Source organism: Homo sapiens, chromosome 20 (genome assembly GCF_000001405.40).
Source record: "Homo sapiens chromosome 20, GRCh38.p14 Primary Assembly".
Lineage (NCBI taxonomy): Eukaryota > Metazoa > Chordata > Mammalia > Primates > Hominidae > Homo > Homo sapiens.
In genome coordinates, this window is record NC_000020.11 from 53,955,369 (window position 1) to 53,977,217 (window position 21,849).

Here is a 21,849-nt window from a genome sequence, read left to right on the forward strand (position 1 = left end):
ATGGATGTCCAAGTACAATAGATATCCCAGAGCAGATACTCTCCTTAGAATGAAACAGAAACTCTCACCACAATGCTCTTCAGAAAGGCCAGAAACCAGAGATCCCAGTTCAAATGCCTTGTTAACTGTTTTTGTTGTGTAGAAGATTTTAAGATGCAGTGAGTGGCTAAGAACTCAGTGTCTGGAGTCAGAAGGACCTGGTTTGTTTCTAATTCCACCATAACCTTGCTGTGTGACCAAGGATAAACTGACCTCCTAGTTTCCTCATCTCTATGGGAGCAATAAAAGAAATGACACCTTATGGTGCTGTGAGAATTAAATTAGCTAAAAATGGAAAGGACACACCAGTGTTCTCAAGTCTGAATCCAAGGCTCCGGAAAATAAAATTCCCAATTGGATTCTGAAAACACTCCTAGGTGGGATGTTTCTAGCTTATTTGGATTTGTATGGATGTCATTCCAATTTTAGAATCACCAAGATTATTGGCATAATTCCTTCACTGTAAAATTCCAGACAAAATATACCATCATATTTAAGCTTGTCTTAAAAGCTTAAATATGAAGAGTATAGTAAAAAGCAATATATTTCCTGTTTAAAAATGTAGGATAAACCAATTATTATGGAAATAAAAATACAAAAACATATTTACAGTCATTACCGTCCATTTGTGAGTGTGATATGGGCAACATTATAAGATGGAAATTCCCTATCAGCAGCATAATAGTAATAGTAACATATAGACACTGTTAACAATAGAGTTGTGCCCCCACCCCAACGCATATGTTGAATCCTTAACTCCCAATGTGATTATATTTGGAATAGGAAGTAATTAAGGTTAAACAAAGGCATAGGGTGGGGCCCTGCCCCAATAGGATTAGTGTCCTTATAAGAAGAGACATTGGCAAGCTTATTCTCTTTCTCTCTCTGCCGTGTAAGGACACACAAGCAAGAAGGTGGCCATTTACAAACCAGGAAGAGAGTCCTCACCAGGAACCAAACCCTGCTGATTTGGTTACTCCTTAATCCTATCCTTTCCAGCCACAAGAACTGCAAGAAAATAAATTTCTGCTTTTAAAGCAACCACCTATGGCATTTTGTTATGGCAGCCCGTGCTGACTAATACAGTAGCTAACATGTATTGAGCCCTCTATACCAGAAATGTTCTAAGTGTTTTACATGTATTGATTCATCTAAGTATGACAACCCCATAAGGAAGTACTTTTCATAGCTCCTTTATATAGATGAGGAAACTGAGGTGCTGACAGATTTGGCAATTTGCCTAAGTCACACAGCAAAAAAAAAAAAAAGTGGCTGAGCCAGGATTTGAACCAGACAGTTTGAGTCTACCACTCATTCTTGTAGCCACTTCTCTATATTGTCAAAACTACTAGAAGAATATTTGATGCCATTTTTTGTGGAGGTGTATTTTTAAATTAAAAAAAGAGTGCAGCTGCATGATCCTATTTAAAAAAAGGAACACATGTAGTTATAAATATGTCATAGCTATGTTTCTTTAGAATAAAGAAAATAATGAAAGCAAACTGTGTGACCCCCCGACTCCATGTCTTTATTCTGTTCAAGACATAGATTCTAGTACTTGCCAAACACCATGCAAGGTGATAGAGAAATAGAAGAAGGAGACTTCTTGCTCCACAGACATTCCAGACAGACATGAGAAGAAACAGGGGAGATAAATGAATTATTACAATTTGTGATGACGCTATGAAATAAAAGAACAATATGTAGTTATGAGAGGCAGATATGGAAGGTCTTTTTGAAGAGGTGACATTTATGGCAAAAAGTGAAGGGTGAGAAGAGATTTTTAATGCAGAAAAGAGGGAAGCACATGTGTGAAAGTTTTTTGATAGGATAAAGCTGAGGAACTCTAGCTTGTTCATGCTTGTGTCTGCAGACCCCAACATAGTTCTTGGCATATAGTAGGTGCTTAATCCTGAGATATTAAATGAGTTGGCTGTGGCTGAGAATTTTATTGAAAAGTATACTGTGAAGAAGTGAGAATACACCACTAATCCCACCACCAAACTGAGTTCGAGGTCACTTACTTGGCAGCTGGAGTCTTTCCCATTTATTTCTTCTGAGTGGGTGATCCCTCCATCCCCTTTCACTGACTAAAATAACAAACAGACAATGGCCTTCAGCCACAAGTACAGTGACGTGGAGAATGCAAGAAAGTTCTGAAATGGATGATCTCAGTCATTTATCATTGAGGTTTGGGGTCAAGACAAATGGAAGGCCAACTGGAAACATGTTACTCATTGGATATAGAGATTTCCATGCAATTTCTAACCAGATCTAATTAAATTCAAGTGTTGGCCTCCAAAAATAACAACAAAAGTACTAAATCCTGGAATTAGGCAATTCTGAGATAAATGATGACGGTTCCAATTAATGTTGGAAGCAGGAGATAGTTGAACATATTAAATGAAGACTGAATGAACAATTGACCCATGAGTAGCCTTCCACTGGGAATATTTAGGCTGTGGGTGTTTTATTGTTTTTTTTTTTTTCTCTCCTTGATAGAGATATGAGTTTTGTTTAATATTTCATTTTCCACCCTTTAGCACCCCCTATAGCCAGCAACACCAGTGACAGGGATAAAAGGGGTTGGACTTGACTCCTTAAACTCCACACTCTAAGCTAATGGTTCTAGAAGTATGATTCCAGGACCAGCAGCTTCAGCATCACCTGGGAACTTGCTAGAAAGGCAAATTCTGGAGACCCAGGCTGGATCTAATCAATCAGAAGCTTTCAGAGGCAGAGGCTCAATGATCTGCATTTTAATAAGCTCTCCAGGTGGTGCTGAGGATTGTCTGAGTTTGAGTACCACCGCTCTCAGCAAGTTGGCCATATACAGGTTCAGACTCATGCTGGGGTCTGTGGTTTTAACGGTGCATTTAGTAATGTCCTATGCTTAGTGCCTGATACCTAAGAAACCTGGTGATAAAATGTTCGGTTCTTATCAACAACATTGACTCAGGTCTAATTCCCACACGTTTGATCACTGCTTAATGTCTCCTCTTCCCAGCTAAGGGAGGAGTATAGAGAGCAGGGTTTCAGCCATATGGGGCAAAGAGGAAGACTCCAGATTCCACTGTTATTTATGGCCATGGCTGTTCTCTTAGCAGACCGTAAGAATCCACAACACATGCACTAAGAACAGCCAGAAACATTGAAAGCACTCAAATACTTTTTGACTGATTAATATTATGTATCTTTGTTGTCTGAGCTACGGTGTTCACATTAGAGATAATACAAATTATTATTTATGAAGGATAATTTTTAGTGGAGTGCTTACTAAGTGCTGGGCATTGTGCTAAATGAGATAATAACTTGCATTATTTCATTTATTCATTATGTCAGAACCTTAAGATAGTGGAATTACTTTATTTTTCAGACAAGGAAATGGAAGCTCAAAGATACTAGCATCACCATGGAACTAGCAGGTTTGAGTGCCAGTGTTGGACAGCAGGCAATGACTCCATATTCCACACTCTAAACCACCTCCCCATACTGCCCCTAGAAGGCAAGAGGCACCACTCAATCAATAAACGTTTATTGAGCATTCACTGTATGAAGTTGCTGAATGTTAGATTAAACAAAATGATAAAAGCTTGGATAAGATGGAGGATGACCAAACTCAAATGTGGATGTTTATGGGATGTCCCCTCATCAGGAGTCAACTGTGCTCTTCTTTATTTTTGATATTATTATTGTTTTTAAGAGACAGGGTCCCATTCTGTCACTCAGGCTGGAGTACAGCGGCACAATCATCATTAACAGCAGCTTCAACCTCCATGGTCAAGCAATCCTCCTGCCTCAGCCTCCCAGATAGATAGGACTACAGGTGTACACCACCATGTCCAGCTATTTTTTTTTTTTTTTGAGAGAGAGTCTCACTCTCTTGCCCAAGCTGGAGTGCAGTGGCATGATCTTGGCTCACTGCAGCTTCTGCCTCCCAGGTTCAAGAAATTCTCCTGCTTCAGCCTCCCAAGTAGTTGGGACTACAGGCGCCTGCCAACACGCCCTGCTAATTTTTGTATTTTTAGTAGAGACAGGGTTTCACCATGTTGGCCAGGCTGGTCTCAAACTCCTGACCTCAAATGATCCACCCGCCTCGGCCTCCCAAAGTGTTAGGATTACAGGCGTGAGCCACTGTGCTTGGCCCAGCTATTTTTTAAAAAATTTTTTTGCAGAGACAGAGTCTCACTATGTTGCCCAGGTTGGTCTCGAGCTCCTGGGCTCAAGTGATCCTCCAGCCTTGGCCTCCCAAAGCACTGGGATTACAGAAGGGTTGTGCTCTTTTTAATATACTGCTTAGTGTGAAAGAGGTGGTGTCTGGAAGTTCCGTGTACTGAGGAACATCATTGGTGCAGGTTTCACTAAGATTGACAAACAAAGATCAGACTGTCCTCTCCATAAAATTTAGATCTGTCTACATGGAAAGTGGGTTTTTCCTTCCTCCGTGCCTTGTGCATTGTTCTACAAAGGCCAGTCTTGCTTGAGAAGGTTTAGAAAAAGAAATGAACTGTTGGCTATTTCTTCCCTCCTCATAACCAGCTCTGTCAGCCTTCCCATCACACCCAAAGCTTTGGACACGTAAGGATTTCATTCAGCCTCCAAATTCGGGCTGTGTCGTAAGAGCCCTTCCTACTCAAGCCCATTCCCAAGTGGCCTTTACACTGTGGCTTTGGATCATATCTGTCAACCTTTGGGAATGTTGAGCAGCAAAAAACAAACAAATGCACAAAATGGCTTTTTAGGCAAAAACCGAATGGACATGAAGAGTCACGCATGAGCACTCCACCACCTTCTAGAGAATAAAGTTCTCTCACTTGCCCCCTAGGAGACAGGAATTCTAAACTTCCCGTTAGTTGTTTCAATTTGGCATTCATTAGGGACTCTGTCAATTTAAGGTTTCAATTTGCTTTCTTTCCCCCCATTTCTTTGAGAGCCCTTGGAGAAGAATTGGGATTGAATCAGAAGGCTGTGTTGACAGCAGCTGATCTCAGCTGACATCATGAATCATGAAAACAGACCTCCAGGCTGTCAGGGAGATTACTGCAACAAAGTTCAACTTCTTAAAAAAAAAAAAAAAAAAAAAAAAAAAGAGAGAGAGAGTATCTCAAACTTTTCAGTGATTTTTCTTTATTGCTTATTTTGAGGCATGTAAAGCTGTATGTATGCAAAGGTGACTGAAGTTTGGGTTTACACTTAGAATCTTATTAAATCCATCTGAAGTCACTTCTGTAGCAGCAGTTATTATTAATAACAACTGTTTCCTTCCTTCCTTCCTTCCTTCTTTCCTTCCTTCCTTCCTCTCGTCCTCTCTCTCTCCCTCACTTCCCTCCTTTTCTTCTACCCTTCTTTCTTTTTTCTTTGCAGAGACAAATCAGAATAATTCATGTTGAACTCTGTATTCAAAGGAACCATAAACATAGAAACTTATTTTTTCCAGCTGTCAAAAATAGCAAAGTTACTGTTTAAAGAGACTAAAATTCTTCCAGAGACTATTTAATACTTTGAAGAACAGTTTAAAGACTATGAAGTAATTTCAGAGATTTTCCAGTGTGATATTGAGCAACTTTCTTCATGGAGTTAATTTTTATTCATGACAGTCAAAGGTGAAGTATCTCAGGGCATTCAGCCTGCAGTGTTGAGATGGAATCTACTTGTGGCATTCACGCCTTGTATATTAATGAAATCATTTTTTATTTCTTTCATCTTGTCATGCATTCCTATAGCTTGATACTCTGAGGAATGTTTGAACCATCTCCAATGTATATCACTTAGCTATTCAAAAATCTAGCAAAAGTGTTTGGTGGTCAGTTCACATTTCTTTGAAGGGAATGTTAATGTATTTTGATGGCAATATAATTCAAACACAATTGACATTTAAAAGAAAAAGAATTGGGCTGAAAATTTAATATATGGTGACTATATCTGCAATATTGTTTATCAGACCAGTCTCATGAAAACAAATCCAAGAATGGGATCTACTGAAAATTTCTAGGATCAACAAAGGTAATGGATCTGAGCTTAGTATTTTACCACAATGCTCACTTGAAATGGAATTGGACTAGTCAGGCAAAATTCCCCAGCCAAGGTAAATTTTGTTTTAGTGACAAATATATTTAGAAAACCTATGTGCAAGCTTTAAGTAAGCCATATATTAATTTTCTTCTCCTTTCCCTTATTGTCATTTTAGGTAAGTGCAACAGCTCAATGCATCAAAATGGTACTTCCATAGAACACATTACTAAAGAAATCACAACAATGGAGCATGTGGTTGTTCTACCTTCGTATCCTTTCTGAGAATACCAGCTGCAGAAGCACAGGAAGCAGCAATTACACATGAGTCAAAGGGTGAGCTTTAGAACAACAAAATGACAACAAAACAACAAACTGAGTTGGAATTCTGGCTCTCCCGCTTACCAGCTCCCGGACCGTGGAAAAATCCCATAAATACTCACTAGTCTCTGTGTCCTTATGTCCATCATGGGGCAGAGAGAGCACTTGTTTCCTAGAGTTCTCTATTAATAAATGAGATACTGCGTGCAAAGTGCCTAGCAGACAATAAATAAACGGTAGCTCTCATTGTTGTTACTGCCGATAACTGAAAAGTGCTGAACGACTACAGAGACCCTCTTAGGGTAGAAAGGAATGCAAGTCATTGGTAGGGACAGGAATTGACCAAATTAATGCTTCCTTCAGAAATCTTTCCTTAAAGAGCAAATCAGTATTAACATTTTAATGCTCAGAGAAGAATTTCATATGGAAGACTTTCGGTTTTCTGTTTTGTAACTACCGTCACAGACCACCCTCTTTCCACCTCCAATAGTACATTTCAACAGATTTTGTTAGACTTACTAGATTGAATGTAATTAATTTAAAAAACCCTCTGATTTCATGGCTGCCTCCTCATTTGGACTTTTAATTTACCCATTATTAAAGCTCACAGTATTTCTCTAAGCCTGAGAACATTATTCCAACAAAGATTTTCTTACAAATCTAATGGTCCAAAGAAAGATATGAGGAGGAGTAAATGAAATAAGGTAGGTGAAAATAGTTTGGAGGAGGAAAGCATTTTCAAGTGTAAGGTGTTATTAATATTGACGAAGTATAAAACTGTATCTAGATCTACCACCTTTCTGGTTTCATTTGCCTACCTGCTTTGTGGACACATGAATGCAGTATTCTACCCACTCACTTTATAAAAATACACCAGCACTTCAAATATTCAATTTCTTGACATACAGCTGAATTAATATGTATAAGAATCTTTTCCTATTTAGGGCATGACAGATGTCTTAGATATTCCTCGCAATTGTTTAAAATCCTGCAGGAGCCCGCAGGATTTCTGTGAAGTGCTACATCTCTATGTGTTGAATGCACTGTTAGGACTTACATGATTCTGTTTTCCTTTCCCTAAAATATAGTTATTTTAAAAATGATACTTTTCCTATTTTTATTTATTTATTTAAGACGGAGTCTCGCTCTGTCGCCCAGGCTGGAGTGCAGTGGCGCGATCTCAGCTCACTGCAAGCTCTGCCTCCCGGATTCACGCCATTCTCCTGCCTCAGCCTCCTGAGTAGCTGGGACTACAGGCGCCCGCCACCATGCCCGGCTAGTTTTTTGTATTTTTAGTAGAGACAGGGTTTCACCGTGTTAGCCAGGATGGTCTCGATCTCCTGACCTCGTAATCCACCCGCCTCGGCCTCCCAAAGTGCTGGGATTACAGGCGTGAGCCACCGCGCCTGGCCTCTATTTTTATTTTTATGAGCAGTAAATTTCTAGAGAGAAAAAGATCTCTAGCTGGATGCAGTGGCTCATGCCTATAATCCCAGCACTTTGGGAGTCCGAGGCGGGTGGATCACCTGAGATCAGGAGTTTGAGACCAGCCTGGCCAATATGGTGAAACCCTGTCTCTTCTAAAAACACAAAATTAGCCAGGTGTGTTGGCATACGCTTGTAATCCCAGCTACTCGGGAGGCTGAGACAGGAGACTCACTTGAACTCGGGAGGCAGAGGTTGCAGCGGGCAGAGATTGTGCCATTGCACTCCAGCCTGGGGGACAAAGCGAGACTGTCTCAAAAAGAAAAAAAAAAGAAAAAGGAGGGAAATGCAAAGGATAGAAAGCAGAAAATCAATGATTTGGTGAATCAAAGCATAGGTTTTGCAGCTGAGTTCTCTCTTCCATTAAATCAATTATTTAAACAAATCGATATTTTGCTAACAATATCCAAAATTTGTCTGAAACGTTTATTTATTTGGCTCAACATCCCCAACCGCTCAAAAAACCCTTAGCGATGGGCCAGATGTTGTCTCTATTTTCAAGCTGTTAGGGCAGGTTTTTTCTTTCCTGCATAAATCCGAAGACTTTGAATCAGTTTGGAAGCTATGAACATGTTACTAAAAAGTATTTCCTAAGAATGATTGCTAGAGCCAACTTCCAGAAATCTACCCAATGGGGACATTAACACATGTGCATAGAAGTAAGTGTGTGAGGATCTTCATACAGGCTTGCGAAGCAGCTGAAATAACGTGGGTGAGACACTTGGTGTGTGCTCACTGAATATGAGGATAGAGTTAAAACTAAATGTCTGTTTTATTCTCCGCCGGGGGAGACTGCACCTGTTTACGCTCACTGTTGTATCCCTTGTGCCTGGAACATAGTGGACACTCAATAATTATTTGTTGAAAAAGTGAATGCATGAAATGCAAAAAGTTGAAAACATACCACATGTCCATCCATTGAGCAATGGTTAACCTGAGTATGATAAATCCAGACAATATGATTCAAATAAGTTGTTCTAAAGAATCAGGCGGTTCTCTATCAGGGATTGCAAACTCAAATACCCACAGGGAAAGGGCCGGTAACATAAATGAGTGAGCTAGACTGGGTGTGGCAATAGGGAGTGGTAGGGACTTTAGTAAGCTGGAAAACTCTTCATTTGTTTATTTGAATTAATCACAGTATAAATATAGTGTTGTAATGAAGGCAAAACAGAAAAAAAGACGATAATTAGAATACCTGGAATTTTAAAGTAAATTCCAACAATCAGGATTTAAATTTTGCAAAGATAATGTTCGTGTTCCCAGGCCTTTTCGTGGGCAACTGGTAATAAGAACAATGGACAGCATGGAATCCAATTCTAAGAATCCATTGGGGATTGCTGGGGAAAAGTGTGTCCTCACCTACCTTCATCCCTATCCTATAGCGAATTGATTCCAAAGGACGCTTTTCTTTTCAATTTGTTTCCCTCAGAATTTAGACTTACCCATTTTCTACTGCCAAAAACTTTTCCCAAACAGCATCTAACAGATAGCTCTGGGGGATAAATTTAAGTAATATGAGACCTCATTAGAATTTAAGAATTTGTTTTAGATGGATGCTGTGAGTGGTTTAGAGGTTTTTTTTTTTTTCATGCTTTCTTTGGAGTTTCTTGTACTTTTCCCTGTTTTAAATGAAGGAGCTTCATGTTGGTTATTTGGAAGAGACCATCATTCTATTTACTGTTTTTTTTTTCTGTACCTCTCAATTCCATCCAGAAATGGAAAAGCTGATCACTCTCAATATTATGATGAGATATTTGGGGATCCCATTTGTAAGTTAGATGAGTTGCCGGAAACAGGCCAAATGTTCTTTTCTTTCCTGGCATCATGTAAAAATTGGTTTTAAAAAAAATCTCAAGTCTTAATCTCCATTTTCACTGCCAAATTGCAGATCAAATGGCCAATGAGATAGATGGGGTTTTGGCCATATGGGCCGCCCACAACTGATTCTACACTTTTTACTCCATGAGAATATAACAGGAAAAGAAAATGATTCCTGTCAACAATTTCTAACATAATTATTTCTAATATGCCTCAGTTCCCATTGGCAAGGGTTTTGTTTTGTTTTGTTTTGTGGGCTAGATAGAATTCCTTAACAGGTTGAGCCTGTGAAATTAGAGAGTTGCTTTCTCAAAGGATTAAACTCCAAATACTCCTGAAAATAAAGTCACACTATAATGAAATTCTTGTTTTTCATTAAAAGAGAATTAAACTAATGACCTTTTACATGCATTTTTGTTTTTTGTTCTCCAACTGATTTAGGTTTTGTTGCATTATATTATTTAAGCTCCTGGCTGTTTAGTCATTTAATGTGCATTGCTTTTTATAAACAGTAAATATATCTATCACATTCTTTCTATTCTACACAAATTAAAAGCATGGCTAATTCATCAACTAAGTTATATATTTCACTATTGGAATATTATGTTGTCATTTCCTTATTTAATTTATCTATAAGCTAGTTTTGTCCAAATTTGTGTCACTCACGTCACCTTCAGAATTTTTGCCATATCTTTATATAACTTGGACTATTTGATACATAATCCTTAAAATGCCTGATATTCTTTATGTAAACAAATGTAATTCAAAGAAAACCTCATATCATTACCATAATAAGAAAAGCAGTATCATTGACCACCAAGAGAAGGAAACTTTAAAAATAAATAATAGTAAGCAATAATAGTAACTTCCAGTTAGATGCTGTTGTATGCCAAAATTTGGACGCAACCACAATTAAAAGGCCGAAAAAAAGAAATAGATGTTGGCGTGGAGGTGGTGAAAACGGAACACTTTTACACTGTAGGTGGGAATGTGAACTAGTACAACCACTATAGAAAACAGTGTGGAGATTCCTTAAAAAACTAAAAGTAGATCCACTATTCGATCCAGCAATCCCACTACTGGGTATCTACCCAAAGGAAAATAAGTCATTATCTGAAAAAGACACCTGCACACACAGGTTTATTGCAGCACAATTCACAATTGCAAAGATATGGAACCAACCTAAGTGCCCATCAACCAATGAGTGGATAAAGAAAATGTGGCTTATGTACACCATGGAATACTACTCAGCCAGAAAAAGGAATGAAATAATGTCTTTTGCAGCAACTTGGATAGAGCTGGAGGCCATTATTCTAAGTGAAGTAACTCAGGAATGGAAAACCAAATACTGTATGTTCTCACTCATAATTGGGGGCTAAGCTACGAGGATGCAAAAGCATAAAAAATGATATAATGGACTTTGGGGACTCAGGGGAGAAGGTTGGGAGAAGGGTGAGGGATAAAAGACTGCATACTGGCTGTAGTGCACACTGCTCGGGTGACAGGTGCACTAAAGTCTCAGAAATCACACTAAAGAACTAATCCATGTAATCTCAAATCACTTGTATGCTCACAACTATTGAAATAAAAAAAATTCCAACCCAAGGGCACCTCTTTTTTTGTTAAAAAGTGTTAGCAGGCATTAAAGAAGGGTTAAAGAATATTAGCAATAAACTGAGACTTTCTGTATGATTGAATCAGAAGGAAGAAAGGGAATTTTCTCACTATGCAATCCATATTCCATTCACATTCCATACACACCAGCTACAATTATGTCTCCTACTACCTGTGGCATGAGCCCATTGTTCCCAGAAGCCGCTCTAGGTATCTTAGGTTTCCTATACTGGAAGTAAGGGGCTTACCATTTGTCTGAGAAACGCCATCAGAGAGGTTCTTGGTTTGCTTTCTTCTCTTTTGAGTTTCGCTTCTGTGGGTTCAGGTGCAGCATCTCCTTCGTTGAGGTCCACTGTTTGTAAGGCTGATTCTACTTCCTTGGACTTTATAATCTCTACTGGTGACTCACACACCACCTGGATTATTTTGCCAGGTAATAAGAAAATGAAAAACAAAACATTCCCCCAAAACATGTTTTACAAAGTGGGGTCCTTGTTGCCCCCCTGTCCACATAGTAGCTACAGTTTTGAATCTATGACCATTTCTACACAGGCACATCTTGGAGAAGTAATGCTTATGTTGTACAACGCACCAATTTCCAAGCTCAACTGCCACATTGACATGGAAGTGGCAAAATCCCTTCCCCAAGGGGAAGAACAGATAAGAGGTCCTTTTTGGGGACTGTCATTCAGAGCATGCTCAATACCCAATCAAATCTAGTAAGCCCACCTCTTTAATCTGCCACGTAGGTGAATTACATTTGGCCTGTCTAGAAACCAGGAATAATCATTTTCTTAAGAGTCCAACGTTAGAGACGGTAACCATGACAGCTTCCAGTTCTCTTTCCAGTTCCCCTGCAACTATAAAGAAACTGTCCTCTTTGTAGAAAGGAGAGTGTAAAAACCACTGAATTTAATTGACTTCCTCATTAAGCGATATCTAATTTTTCCCTAGAACAGTCATTTGCCATTTCACTTAATTGAAGTTTATGCTTTCAGAAGAAAAATGAACTTGGCAAGAAACTGATGGCTAAGTTGTTCGCGGCCCTGGCCACTGTACCTAGTGAGCTCGATTTCCTCTGCCTCTGAGTGTCTGTGGCGGCTTGGATGGAAGGGCCCATCTACCACACTCTGCTCTCAACTTGTGTTCTTTTGCAGTGCCTCACTCCATTTGTACAGGGCCCCAGTCACATCTGGGACAGTTTCTGCATTTGTGTTGTTCCCTGCCACAGGACAGAGTGAATTGGCCAGGAGAGGTTTTTTAATTTCCTTTGTTTCCTCAGGCAGGGGCTGGCAAAATACTACCAAATCCAGCTCAGTAACTGTTTCTGTGTGGCTCCTGGGCTAAGGATAGTCTTTACCTTTTAATTTTATTTATTTATTTAAGAAATGAGGTCGTGCTACGTTGCCCATGCTGGCTTTCAACTCCTGGGCTCGAGTGATCCTCCTACCTTGGCCTGCCACGTAGCTGAGACTATCAGCACACGCGACCACGCCTGATGGATTTTACGCATTTAAAGCGTTGGAAGAAATATTTTAAAAGATAAAATGTATGGGATGGAGACCACAAATGGCCTATGAAGCCTGAAATATTTACTATCTGGCCCTTTAAACCACATGGCTTTCATCTGCTGCCTCCCTGGAAAGTACCATAGAGTCAAAGGCATCTTCCCACTTGTCTTTGCTGGGCCAGACCCCTAGCTTCTTGGAGCCTTGTTCTTGGTGTCAGGGGGTAGGGGAAGGGGACTTAGTTATTTCCAAAAATATCGTCTGCTGAGAAACTATTTTCTTTCCCATCATACAGAACATACCATTGGTTTGCAAAATGACCCGAATTTTCCAAATCGAGAAGAACCCTTAGTCTCTGTATTGCCATTTGATTCAGGGAGTTGCCCATCAGTAAATCAGCATGCAGAACACCCCAACATTTGGCAACTAAATCACATTTCTTAAGCTAAATTAAATTTCTTAAGCTACTGACACAATTTCTAGTATTTTCTTTTTTGTAAACAAAAACGGAAGTTGGGGGGTTACAAACTCAAAAGTCCTCAGGAGGCAAGGCAGAGAATATCAGCATGGATTGACCAGACCTAAGACCAAAAGTAGTGACAGGGATGATGACAAAGTAAAGTCAAGCTGTCCCATCTAAAGATGTTAAATGATTAAAAATGCTGGATTGGCCAAACAAAACCTATTTGTGAGGAAGGGTCTGCTGCTGGGCTGTTGGCTTTGGACCCCAATCTATCTTTAGGAAACGAGGTGGAGACTGGAGCCATATCAGAGACTGAGAATGGCAATAGAGCATGGACATGGATTTCCACATTTTGAACTGATTTAATTCAATCGCATTTCCGAAAAGTAAGTGTGAGCCACAAGAGCCCTTCAGGTGAGGCTGAAATATAGGCAATCTAACTCGTGGTCATAGAGGACAAGCTCCAGAACAACTTGCTGGGCTCTAAATCACATCTATATCCCTCATCTAAGCTCAGTGCCCAACATCTCTGTGCTTTTCGTGTTCTCTGTTCTCGGTGGGAATTGCATACACATCAGAAAGTTGTCTGCATATTAAATCAGGCAATACATGTCAAGTTCTTAGCACCATGCACTCAATTAATGCTAGTGGTTGTTATTTGTGTTAATGTTAGAGCTATTTAGTCCATGAGCATGAATTATCTGGATTAGGCACCATGCACATATCCAATATTTAGAGATGATTATATTAATAGCTACTTCTTGCTATGCCTGGTATTGTACCGGGTGTTTAATATTTTTTTATAAATAGCATCAAGATAGTTCGACAGCTTAGGAAATATAACATTATCCCTATTCTATAGATAAAGAGTGAACAATTGAATGATTTGGCCAGAGTCTTACCACAGATAAATAGGCATTACAATAAGGATGGCATTTTCTGCGGCAACTCAATGTATCTAATAGTGGCTTAACCAATGAAAACATGGAACAAGAAGTTCTGGGGTTGGTTGAGTGGCTCCACAATATCTCTAACAACTTTGGCTCTTTGTTCTTGGCTCCACTATTCTTGGCATGCTAGATTTTCATCATTTTATTTGTTACCTCATGGTTAAAAAATAGCTGCCACAATTCCAGATATCACATCCTCAATCCAATGTTCTGAGAAGGAAGGTCACAGCCAAAGACTTGCACCAAATAAACATCTGTATTTTGATCCCCTACCTCAGGGTACCTAAATTTCATGGGTCAGAGCTAGGCCACTTACCCCCAGGCTACTTACTAGTGAAGAAAATGAGATTACTAACTTAGACTAATCATGATCAAATACTTTGGGGGTATAAAGTTGGCAACTTTGCCTAAAACTAAGGGTAGAAGAGTGGAGAAATAGAAAATAGCTCTTAAGTAGATAAGGAATAGAGTTTGCGTTCAGAAGTATTCTGTCTTTGAGGCAGTGAGTTCTTTCTTCGTGTGCAAAGACCTGGAGGAAAAATTACTCATAAATAAAATGATCAGATTGTATGGCAATAACTCTGTAAATCAATTCTATTTGGATGCCAGTGGTTCCCTTGCTGAGCCTTTCCAAATGTTGAGAGGTATCAACCCATAAATCCTAGGCCACAAGTCCATTCTCCAGAACACAACTATTGCAGTAGGTAAAAAAATATAGTACTTCTGGAGACTTCCACTACCTTTGAAGTCAGGCCAAGAAGCTGGCTTTTAGTAGCCAAGGAAAATCCACTGACATCCAGTGTGGAAATCCAGAACAATCTTGGCTAAATAAGGATCTGATTTGCATATACAGACATAGGAATTCAATTTTTATTTGGATAATTTTCCAAATTTCTCCTAGGCCAGGGCTTTGGAAAAAGTTGTTTCCTATTTAGAACATATGACCGCATCTGCACATTTTAATTTTGGATATCATGAATGGACATAATTAAAGTCAGATGTGCGCTACATTTTAGAATTAAATCCCCCCTGCTTGATTTCTGTAGAGGATATGGTAGACATTGCATGAAGATGGCAGGTACATCTAACATTGACAATATACATTTCAGTGAAGAGTTTCCCTTTTTGCCTCAAATTTTATACCACACTTATTCTTGAAATTTGGTTATACAGTTTTTACTAGAGCTGTGGCTTTTGGAAATTGATTTATGGCAAATAGATTTCGTCCATTTAAACTTCATGCACAACGTCATATTAACATTAAAGGTTTTTATTTTAGAATATTTTAAAGATTATTTTGATAGGACTTTTAATGTGATTGATTACAAAGACCTCCCACAGATTTTTTTTTTTCTACTCAGTAACTATTCTCTCTCATCTGCTTACACACTCTAATTTTGCTTTGGGAGAGCAATCTTTCCCATCTTCAAGACTATGTAATTTGGATTAAGCCAATTAAAAAGGTCTAAACCAATCAACATGGTCAAGCTCCTTGACTGTGGTTGGTTTAGAAATGACAGCATGCGGCAAATTGTATTATTTCTCCAATTATTTACCCTACCTTCCTGTAAATGAATTACACACCTGTGCCCATTGATGTGTGACTTGCTTTAGTAATGGAACATGGGTAGAAATGACATATACCATGCCTGAGCAGAAGCTTTAGGATCCGTTGCATGATTCACCCATGCCACTATTTTCTCTCTGCAACAAGAACTGCATGTCCTTATTGAAGGGACTGCTGCTTCTCTACTGACCTCAGCAGGAAGAGGCCACATGGGTTAGCCAAAGCCAACTGATAGCTGGCTTGTAGCATGAGTGAGAAAAGAAAAAATAAAACAAACTTCTTTGCTATTGAGAAGCACTGTAATTTGGGACCTGGTTGTCACTGCAACACAACCTGGCAAAAGCTGACGAATACAGCATGTGAATGCATTTCAGTCAGTGAAACAGAACAAACTCCAGGACATGCAGGGTTGCTACTTGACAAATAGCTCATTTACTTTGGACTGAGTGATGTGATGTTGGAAAGCTGAGCATGTAGCCAGGCCAAGAAGGCTGAACCCAAGGAGAGCCCTGAATTAAATTTTATTTGAAAGCAATTTAACTTTCTAGTAATGAGAGCCAGTAAAGGCCACTTTCTTTCTAATCCAGGTTGAATTGGGTTTTCTTTCACTTGCAACTGAGAGATTACTTATTAAGAGAGATAAACAACAGAAGTACCTGTTTCCATGGTCTTACAGGTTATTGGAAGGAAAGAAATTTTTTTCATTAGAACATTAACTCAATTAACCAATGGGCAAAATATTTTTTTTATTACAACTGAAAGATTCTATCATTTCAAGAGTTAAAAAAAGATTTATTTCTGATAGGACCAGAAGCACATTCTAGGAAAAGCACTAAACTTCCACAGGCTTCAAAATCCTTATTTTTCTTTCTGTGAGAAACTTTGAGAAATGTTGACATCACTCTGTTTTTTAGTTTTTTTTAAATACAAGTGGGCCTTGCATCCGTTGATAGATTAGTTCTGGAAAGTTGTAGGTAGAGAAATTTTAAAGAATAAACTCAACCACATTTTAGCCAGAAGTCGTTATTTAAAGCACTCTTGTAATATGGTTAATCATATCTAATTGTCCTGTTGTGAAGGTGTAGAGCACTATACATTGTTTTGACTAATGCCTTCTCTCTTATTTAAGAGAGGAGGAAATTAAAGCTAACTCTGTTTTACACATTCCTTCAATCCACATGGACACTGAGTCAGCTGTGAGCTGTATCATTTCACTAGGAAAGAAAATCACCGATTACTGGGACATGCTCACTCACTATGTTGTCTCTTATTTGCTAATTTGCTAACAATTACTGCAGAAGGTGGCAAACTTTTCCTGCAAAGTCCCTGCCAATCAGTGTTTCTGTTGAAACTACTCAACTCTGTTGCCTAGCAACAAAGCAGCCATAGATGATATGTAAAGGAATTAGCATGGCTGTGTTCTAATAAAACTTTATTTCTGGACACTGAATTTGAATTTTGAATTCACATCATAAAATATTCTTTTTAAATTTTTTTTCAACCATTCAAGAATGTAAAAATCATTTTTAGCTTGTGGGCTGTATTTGGCCCATGAGCTACAGTTTGCTGATCCCTAAAATTATTGAGTTCCTCCTACATTTCAGGCACTGAAGTAAGCACGTTATAGACATGATCTCCAATTTTCACAAGAACCCGAAAGTGTAGGTGATATTATTATCGCCATTTAACAGATGAGTAAACTGAGGCTCAAGAGGTGTGGCCTGAAGATGATGGGATCAACGTCACAACCATCAGTCTCATTCCCTCCAAGTGATAGGCTGTCAGAAGATGAAATACTGATGCTGGGAGTGGTGGCTCACGCCTGTAATCCCAGCACTTTGAGAGGCCAAGGTGGGCGGATCACTTGAGGTCAGGAGTTTGAGACCAGCCTGGCCAAGATGGTGAAACCCTGTGTCTACTAAAAATACAAAAATTAGCCAGGCATGGTGGCGCATGCCTGTAATCCCAGCTACTTGGGAGGCTGAGGCAGGAGAATCACTTGAACCTGGGTGGGTGGAGGTTGCAGTGAGCCGAGATTGCGCCACTGCACTCCAGCCTGGGTGAAAAGAGCAAAACTCTGTCTCAAGAAAACAAACAAACACACAAACAGAAAAAAAGAAGATGAAATATTGAGCCTTAAAAATCAAAATGTTGCTTGCAGTGTTAAGTCATTTAAGGCAATTTTTATAATGCTTCTTTATTTTATTTAACAAATATTTTACCTTATTTTATGTCCCTATCATCAGTTTTTGTGTTATCGTTTGGTGTCGATAATTTAACTTTTAATTCCTGTTTATATTTCTATTTAAAATTTCACAGTAGAAAATAGAATATCTCCTGTTTGCCTGTTAGAGATCAACTCTGCATTTTAGCATCTGAGCTGCGGGAAACACAGGGTTCCTTAAACAAGCAACTACACACAAACATCCAAAAAGTTTTTCTTTAGAAAACTCAGAACCTCAAAGCTAACAGATGCTACAGATTTTACGGGCAGCTTTTAAACTTAAAGTTCGTAGAAAGAAGTCTTGTGGAGTCCTCCTTGTAGGTTGCGGGAATAGAAACTTTGACTTTCTATAAAATAGTAATTCATGAGAACTTTCTGGAATGATGAGAGACCTGAGCTTTGCTGGGCTAAGATTGGCTCAAGAAAGAAAAGAAGGAAGGAAGGAAGGAGGAAGGAAGGAAGGGCAGTAAAACCAACAAACAGATTTTGAGAGGTGAAGCCAGCTGGATGTCCTGGGTCGAGTGGAGACTTGGAGAACTTTTCTGTCTAGCTAGAGAATTGTAAATGTACCAATCAGCACTCTGTAAAAATGCACCAATCAGTGCTCTGTGTCTAGCTAAAGGATTGTAAATGCACCAGTCAGCACTTTGTGTCTAGCTTAAGGATGTAAATGCACCAATCAGCACTCTGTAAAAACACACCAATCAGTGCTCTGTGTCTAGCAAAAGGATTGTAAATGCACCAATCAGCACTCTGTAAAATGGACCAATCAGCACTCTGTAAAATGGACCAATTAGCAGGATGTGGGCGGGGTCAAATAACGGAGTAAAAGCTGGCCACCCCAGCCAGCAGCCACAACCCGCTTGGGTCCCCTTCCACGCTGTGGAAGCTTTGTTCTTTCCCTCTTCACAATAAATCTTGCTGCTGCTCACTCTTTGGGTCTGTGCCACCTTTAAGAGCTGTAACACTCACTGCGAAGGTCTGTGGCTTCTTTCTTGAAGTCAGCGAGACCAAGAACCCACCGGAAGGAACCAACTCCGGACACAATTTCAAGATTTTTCTTCCAATAAGAATCATAACACAGCCATTCTAATTTTTATTCCACATCACAGACAACATTTCAGAAACGTGTTTGGATGTTTAACATCTGTTCAGTTCCCATAACTAAATAAAAATAAAAACACACGCCCTATTTATGGCAAGTAAATAAGGGACACCCAGAACAAGTTTTGCTTTGGCAACATGATAATGTTCGGTTTCTATCTCAAGGAGCTGTGAATTCACTTATCCCTACTTATAAAAATTTCCCAAAGACTGCGCACTTCTTTCAAGGCAGAGAGCTGTTGTTTTGGGTCTGAAACTCACGAGGTCAATTTATTAATCTCCCTGGAAGCTACGTTTTTGTGATGTTTTATATAGCACCATCCCTTTCGGGGATGAATGAACTGTCTTGAAAATTTTGACAATTCCTCTAGAAGATTAAAAGCCAGGAAAACTGTGAGGCTCAACGTCTCTATCTCAGAGGTAGACCCGTCAAGTCAGCGCTCTAACCTGAGACCGACATTCTCAGCGTCTGTTGCTGCAAGATGTTCTCATGCCTGATGCAACTCCCTGCCCTGGGTACCGCCCAAAGTTAGTAAGAAGCTGGATCACCATGGAAATAAGAGTGAACGAGCAGTCAAGGTGGAATGAAGCAGAAGGCGGAGCATCATTATCCCTCAAGGAAGCGCAAAGCTGTTCTTACGTGTAGTAGACTCTTTCAGCCCCTACTGATAACAATTATAAAAATTTGTGCCCTGATTTTGCATTTATTTTGCACTGATTCAATGAGAGTTACAAAAATTCATCCAATGTTATCCTCCATGCGTCCCTAATCACATACGGGATAAGAGAGTCTACAACAAACGAATCACACTGGCAGCATGCAAGAACACAGGACCCCAGAGCTGAAAATGCCCAATTGTACAACATGGCGGAAGATGAGAATGGAATGATTCTGCCGTGGTGTGTGTAACTTACATTCTCCTCCGCACCTGTGGGGACTGAGTCCTCTTTAACTGACTAAAGGAAGATAAAAACAAAAGTGAGAGTTAAAAGGTTACAGAAAACAAAATTGTTACATAAAAGCAAAGGGTTAGTTGGGCTCACAGTCTTGGGGTGCGTTCGGGGACACTGAATTGCCTAGGTACACCTCCTTCTAAAAAGAAAGGAGACTTACAAAAATGAAAACGGTATATATATATATATATAGTTATGTATTTTAAAATGCAACAAAGAGAAAATTAAAACACAGATGCAGCCAGGATACAAATGGAGCAAGCAGAAGCGTTGTCACAGAAAATGCTAACTGCTGTAGGTAAGCAATGTACTTGCCTTTATATTTTTTAGTAGTTGATGAAAAGAGAGAAATGCAATTAATCATTCAATACAGAGTCACTGTTAGGTAAAACAAAGAAGCTACTCAGGAAAATTCTGGTAATAAGTGCAGAGAAACTCGTTCAATTGTCCTTTTGAGCAAGCAGGCTTTATAATACAATAGGCAGGGTCCAAGCCCTACCCTGACCATAGCACAGGGGCCAGCAGCAGGGGCCGCTGCTTTCGTCAGCCCTCAGTCTAGGCCAAGTTCATTAGGTCAAAGTTCAATTTGACTAAAACATGTCTGTGGAAGGCTAGAGAGCTGCAGTCCTACATATCCACATTCAAACACCGTTTTACTCCCAGGAGTAATTCTGGCATATACAGTCCTGCCCCAAGTGGGATAGGAGTTATCCCGATTCTGTCAAAGGTCAAAGCCACAATCATTCTATCAGTTAGCCAACTTTGGAGTTCATTTTTGCATCTTTCTTTTGGTGGTTCTTAAACTTCTGGATGGATGGTGGTGGATGTTACAGACCACTTTGAGACTCATTTGATAGATCTGGACTCTCCTCCCAGAGAAATGCACATAAACAATATACTTTGCAAATAATTTCAGGATTCATAGACCTTCTATGTCTCTCCTCTTGGATTACAAGTTAAGAACTCTGTCTATATCCATTTTGTTACTAAGTCCTATTTTTTTTTTTCCTTTAAGGCATCCAGGGGAGGGGAAGACAGGAAGTGATATTTACAAATGTATCTTCTGCACTAGGCATCTTGCGTTATATATCATCTCACTTAAAGCACCCCAAAATGGTAAGTATTGTGATCCTAACTTACAGAGTAAGAAATAGAAGTTCAGAGAGGTGAAGCCACTTGTTCCAGTTAAACAGCTAGAAAGTGGTGGAAATGGTTTTAATACATTTATTTTACATCTAAAAGCCAAATTTTCCCCTGCTATGATGACTTCAAGGGTCAGAAACACATTTTTTCGGCAATCGTGTGAATTCCTTTCTTCACATACAGAATTATTCTCTCTAGATGAGATCTTCAGATTGCATAATTTATTTCTAGTTATCTTCTTCCCACAGTGAAGTTTCTCTGGGCACAAAAATGTTCCTAAAAGAGATTGCTGAATTTCTGAAAGCTTCTGATTATCAGGAAATTGTAATGTGTTCAGAAGAAATTAGCAGTAGTGTTACTGTATTAATCCGTTTTACACTGCTATAAAGATATACCTGAGACTGGGTAATTTATAAAGGAAAGAGGCATAATGGACTCACAGTTCCACATGGCTGGGGAGGACTCAGGAAACTTACAATCATGGTGGAAGGGGAAACAGGCACATCTTACATGGTGGCAGGCAAGAGAGAGCGAAGGGAGAAGAGCCCCTTATAAAGCCATCAGATCTTGTGAAAACTCACTTGCTATCAAGAGGACAGCATGGGGGAAACTTCCCCCATGATCCAATCACCTCCTATCAGGTCCCT

General features: G+C 39.4%; 1 protein-coding gene across 19 annotated transcripts in view; it reads right to left on the reverse strand.

The window, feature by feature from the left end:
- The window catches only part of BCAS1 (brain enriched myelin associated protein 1), a 127,054-nt gene that overhangs the window by 11,828 nt on the left and 93,377 nt on the right, over nucleotides 1-21,849 (reverse strand). For 4 of the 19 annotated variants that reach the window (NM_003657.4, NM_001366298.2, XM_047440566.1 and 1 more), the window contains 3 exons: nucleotides 20,021-20,062; nucleotides 11,538-11,705; nucleotides 2,064-2,129 (listed from right to left, as the gene is read on the reverse strand). The exons of 3 other annotated variants lie outside the window; for them this stretch is intronic. In NM_003657.4, coding sequence (NP_003648.2) covers nucleotides 2,064-2,129; nucleotides 11,538-11,705; nucleotides 20,021-20,062 — 276 coding nt within the window. The remainder of the gene's footprint in view (nucleotides 1-2,063; nucleotides 2,130-11,537; nucleotides 11,706-20,020; nucleotides 20,063-21,849) is intronic. 12 more of the 19 variants (NM_001366296.2, XM_005260590.4, XM_047440567.1 and 9 more) reach the window with 5 other exon arrangements.